General features: G+C 33.2%; 1 pseudogene; it reads left to right on the top strand.

The window, feature by feature from the left end:
• On the top strand, positions 661-4,622 carry HNF4GP1 (hepatocyte nuclear factor 4 gamma pseudogene 1; annotated as a pseudogene).

The raw sequence follows: 5,952 nt of genomic DNA, 5'->3' as shown, positions 1-5,952 counted from the left end.
TTAGCTAAACAAAAATCATATGTTTTTGCCTAGGTTTTCTTCTGGGAGTTTTATAGTGTTATGTTTTACAATTAGTTCTATGATGTACTTTGGACTATTGTTTCTGAAAGGTATGAGATCTTTCATCTATCCCTAGGTTTACTTTTTGGCAGGTGATGTCTAATTTTTCCTGACCACTTGGTAAAATGACATTCATTTCTCCACTGGATTGCCCTTGCTTCTTTGCCAATGACCAGTTCACTACGTTTGTGTGATTCTAGTTAAGGGCTTGCTTCCATTAATCTATGTGTCTATTCCTTGCATCAAAACCATAGTATCTCGATTACAATAGATTTACAGTAATTCTAGAAATCAGGTAGTGTCAGTTCTACAGCTTTGCTTTTTTTTTTTATTTTTTATTTTTTGGTTTGTTGTGGATTATTCTGGGGCTCCTGTCTTTTCATGTAAACATTTGAACCAGTTTGTCAATATGCACAGGATAACTCACTTGGATTTCTACTGGAATTATATTAAATCTGTAAATCAATTGAAAAATAATTGTCAAAAGTGTGGCGCCAGATACCGCGGTTGAGGTGGATGGAAGGGACCTGCTGCAGGGAGATGAGGAGGCTGCAGGGCAGTGACTGCAGCTCCAGAGCTCCCGGAGTGGCTCTGCGCAGGTACTTCTGCCCCAGAGAGGACAAATATGAATACCCAGACAACAGTCTCATCTGTCTTTTTGCTATATGTGAGTCAAGGCAACAGGAAAACACTGTGGGGCATCGAGCTGTGGTGGGTGCAAGGGCTTCTTCAGATGCAGCATATGCAAGAGTAACGTTTATTCTTGCAGGTTCCGTCGGCAATGTTTTGTTGACAAGGCCAAAAGAAATCAATGTAGATACAGTCAATTAAGAAAGTGTTTTAGAGCAGGAATGGAAAAAGAAGTTGTGCATAATGAATGCAATAGAACAAGCACCAGAAGAAGCACATGTGATGGCAGCAATATCCCCTCCATTAACACACTGGCACAAGCTGAAGTTCTGTCTTGCCAGATCTCAGTCTCAAGCCTTGGGGCAAGTACTGATATACATGTTAAAAAAAATAAAATAAAAGTGTTGGTGATGTCTGTGAATTTCTGAAACAGCAGCTCTTAGTCTTGGTGGAATGGGCTAAATATATTCCTGCCTTCTGTCAGTTACCATTGGATGACAAGGTGGCGCTGTTGAGATATCATGCAGGAGAACACTTAACTGCCTGGAGCTATAAAGAGATCCATGATGTATAAAGATATTTTGCTTTTGGGAAACAACTATATTATTCACTGCAACAGCTGTGAATTTGAGATTAGCAGTGTAATCAGTCGGGTTCTAGTTGAGCTGGTTCAACCATTTCAAGAAATCCAAAAGGCAATTGTATTTTTTGGCCCAGATGTGAAAGGGCTACACTTAAATGGGCTACATAGATCCAATAAACATTAAGAACATGCAATTCCAAGGGCGGATGGGTTTGGAGAACTCCGTCAATGATCCGCACGCAGTATGGCTCCCTGGGGGAGGTTTGGAGAGTTGCTTCTGCTGCTGCCCACACTGCTGCGCATCATTTGGCAAATGATTGAGCAAATATAGTTTGTTTAAAAAACTTTTGCGGTTGACTTAAATTGGCCACCTACTTCAGGAAATGTTAAATGGGGCTTCCAATGATAGTAGTCATCTCCATCATCCAATACATCCACATTCATCTCAAGATCCATTAACTGGACAAACTGTACTTTTAGGTCCCATGTACACACTGGTTCTTATGAAGACCACATCTGAACTCCTGAAACCCCACTCCCTTCCCCACCACAAGGCTTTGCACAAGAAGATTACAGAACAGCTACAAATCAAGCTTCAGTCATTTCACCAGCCTCTCTTCAAACAAAAACAATTGTGAAAATGTGTTTATTTCTGAACAGCACTGCATAAATGTGAAAAGCTGTTTGTCTTGAAACATCTCAAGATAGTACTTTTGGCAAACTCTGATCCAAGGCTTCTTCATGGAACTGTTATAAGACAGTATCCTATGTTCATTCTGTTTGTTGTTGCTACTGTGTGAAACTTTCACATGAAACCAATGTATATTTGAGTTTGAAGATGTTTATATAGTGTATTTGTTCCATCTTCCCTTGCATTCTGCCTGCATCTGTTAAGCCTAATAACACCTTTGATTTGTTTCCTTAATATTGATTGAAATGCATAAGTAATTGCTTTATTGTGATGTGATGCAGAACTAAATGTACTTTTTAAAATTAGAACTGTGGATCAGAAATCTCAGTTTAATATAAACTGAAGGTTTTTTTTCAATAAATTACGAACTTGTTGATTAGAAAAATAAAGCAATTGCTGTAGAATAAGGTATATCTTTTTGAAGAATCTCCTATGGGAGTTCTGTGGCAAAGAAGCATCTCTTTTGTCTACAGTTAAATATGCCTATCCTAAGTTTAGGAAATTATAAAAAGCCATTCCAAGAAAGCATGGATATTTTTTTAAATGTGACTGTCTTTGAAGATTTATGTTAAGCTAAGATATGTTAGTTAAGATACAGGCTAACCAGTAACAAAGAAACTCCTAAAAGATTGACTCCAATTAGACAGACATTTATTTCTTTCTCCTGAAACAATCTAGAAATAATTCTCCATTGACTAGAAATCAGCACATGCCTGCAGCTGGGTCCCAGGGCGGCCAGGAGAATCATCTATAGGTGCAATTTCTGTGTCAGCCAAAGCCATGACACTCCAAGAAAGCTGATCCTGGGGACAAATTAGCTGTCTACCACCAATGTGCCTTATTTAGTCCTTACAACAACACTTTAGGAGAGAGAGTATTATCTCTCTTTTATAAATAAAATAAACGTAAATTGAGGGTTTAAGAACATAACCGAAGTTCATAAATGTAAATCTAGGTCCGGTTGACTTTAATGATTGTGAATTTTTTTTGTGGAATAAAAAATGCAAACTTCTTATTCACAGTGTGTTTTTTAAATATATGCAATTGAGTGGTTATTGGATATTATCTATCATGTTGCCTATAATATATTTACATGTAAGCAATGAGTGTAAATTGTTGCAGTTTTAATAAGAAACAACTTTTGTAGTTTTAACAAGACTTTCTTCTAAAAAAATTAAAAAAATAAAATATTCACCAAGTAGATTTGATGAAAACAAAAACAGATTCAAATAATTGACTTAGAAGACTTTTTGAAATCCAGCAGCTGAGGGATGTACCAATTGTTTAATTCCAGACAGAGGAATATTCTTCACTGAAGCCTTAAACTACTTGATATCATCTCCAAGCTAGAGCTTATTTTAAAACAAATTAATCATGGGCTACCTCATGAGTCAGTGGTTCCTCTCTGGTTGATAGGGAAGACTGGCTGTGTAATTATTAATATCAATGATGTATTTTAGAAAAACTATTCCAAGATGTAAAAGATTGAATTAAATTATCTTTCTCAAGGTCTTTAAGCAGTACTAAGATTATGATGTCATAAATCCCACTTACACTACAAGTAAAAAGATTATATTAATGTTAACTTATTGGCTGCTGAGGTAAAATTAAACTCAATGTAGAAAAATGGTTACTTAAAAGCTATAATTGGTTTAATGAAACCAGTAAAATTTCTTCAAGACCTGCTACCCTTGTGAAACCATAAAAAATATCATTGTTTGATGGGGGTTAACTCTTATTTTTTGAAAACTTACTGTAGTGTCTGCTTCATGAATAATATTTTTTTTTATTTTTATACATACAAATATCCTTTTGCAGGTTTTTGTTGAGTTTGCTGGGCTTTCTCTTAGAAGATATAAAAAATGCCATCTTGTTCCATGCAGACTGCTATAACAAAATACCATAACTTGGGAAGCTTATAAACAACCAAAATGTATTTCTTATTGTTGTCAAAGCTGGGAAGTCCAAGATCAAGGAATTAGAGGAATTGGCAAATTTGATCTCTGACTCATACCTGCCATTTTCTAGCTTTGCCCTGATACATGCAAGAAACAAGGCAGCTTTGCTGGGGTGTCTATTATGAAGACACTAATCCTCATGACTTAATCACTTCCCAAAGGCCCCTAATCACCTTCCAAAGACCTCCTAATAGCATCACCCCAAGGAATAGATTTCAACATATGAAATTTAAAAAACACAAACATTCAGAACATAGCAAATAACTTTAAAATACAAAACATAAAGTTCATTTTTAATGAAACCTCTAATTTATCCATACATGTTTAGCAAACAGCTATGTTTTAGAAATTATTAGTAATGATTTGGCTTCAATAACTATAATTAGGAAATTTGTAATATAATATTTTGTATACTGAACTGTCAAAAATGCTGGATAAAAAGGAACTAATTTTTTGACATATTTTCAAAATATTGATAAGGAAATTTATTCCTTTTATGTAGCATACAACTGTTTTCAGGTAATATGAATGACTAATGTGTTGTGAAATAATGATTCATTTTATAAATGTAAAATTATTTTTATAATTTTGTTGTTGAATATCAAAAATTAGATTTTTAAATGTTAAATTATAGTGAGATTAAAGTATTTCTAAATTGTGATGCCATATTGCTTCACTAAACTTTGTAAATAAAAACAGAAAAAAATTAAAAATAATAATTTTCTTATAGTTAATATTTTTATCTATAAACATAGAATTAATGTCTATTTAGATTCTCTTTGGTTTATTTTATGGTTCTAAAATATTCTACATATATATTCTTTACCTATTTCATTAAAGACATACCTACATTTTTTTGTGCTGTGTATTGCTATACCATGATACACCACGGTAATGATAATACAAGTCTAAAATTGCTATATTAATTTCAGATAGAGTAAACCTCAGAACCAAAAATAATTATGAGGAATGCAGAGGGGAATTACTAAATGATAAAGGAGTCAAGTCGATGATTTGCAGTGTGGCATAATATTTTAAGGACATAATATTTTAACCTATATTTTCTTGGAGGCTATCTTTTCCAGTTTAAACTATTACAGATTGTATTCTGGAACACTAACATGGTATATGAAGATTACCAAAGGATGAGTATATTGATAATTTAATCTAATTTATTATCTATATCATATTATTAATCAAATAATTAACATATAGTCTTAATAGTGTGGGGAGCTACGCTTACTGAACAGAATTTTAGTGTAATATTAATAAATAGGAGACATTAGATAGAAGCCTTGAAACTTATTAAATTGCCCATTGAATAAGTAAAAAATTCAGAAAATCACTTCATTTTAAATGTTATAGAGCCACCAATATAGTAATTTTGAAAATGTGTGTTGTATTCTACCTAATTCAATTGTAGTTAAAAATGTGTCAAGATATATCTATATTCATATGAAAATTATTTTTGTGAAAATTTGGTGGGATAATAATAAAAATTACTTAGCAGAGTGCCTGATGCTACAGAAGCAAAAAAAAATTTAAAAAAATAAAAGATGTGATTTTTTTTCTTAAGATGCCAGTTGATGTACAGTTACAACTGTAACTGTATTCACAGTATTATTTATCAGTATTAAGTTTATTTGGACCACTCTCTGAATTATGCATGGGTACAACCAGGCTCATTGAGAAACACACTTAGTTGTTTCTACACTTCCCTTTCTCTGGTTCTAGATGTTTTTTTCAGATTGTTGGTTAAATAAAAAATAAGTGGAAAACTAAAATAATAGTGACAGGAGTTATTAGTACAGGTTGCCTTCAAACCAGGAAAGGTATATAAAGCTTAATATTCAAGTTGAAAATCACAGTACAAATCCAGTTATATCATAAGAGTAAAGAACACATTTTACTTAAAAAAATTGGAACATAACATAGTTATGAAAATAGAGTAGCTGTTGTGCCCAAAGTTACCTCCTACAATTGCAATTAAATTGAGCTGTAGTGACATTTGTGATCCCAAATGAACATAT

The sequence above is a fragment of the Homo sapiens genome, chromosome 13 (assembly GCF_000001405.40).
Source record: "Homo sapiens chromosome 13, GRCh38.p14 Primary Assembly".
Taxonomy (NCBI): domain Eukaryota; kingdom Metazoa; phylum Chordata; class Mammalia; order Primates; family Hominidae; genus Homo; species Homo sapiens.
The sequence above is the reverse complement of the archived record's forward strand: the minus strand, read 5'-3'. Positions and strand labels throughout refer to the sequence as shown.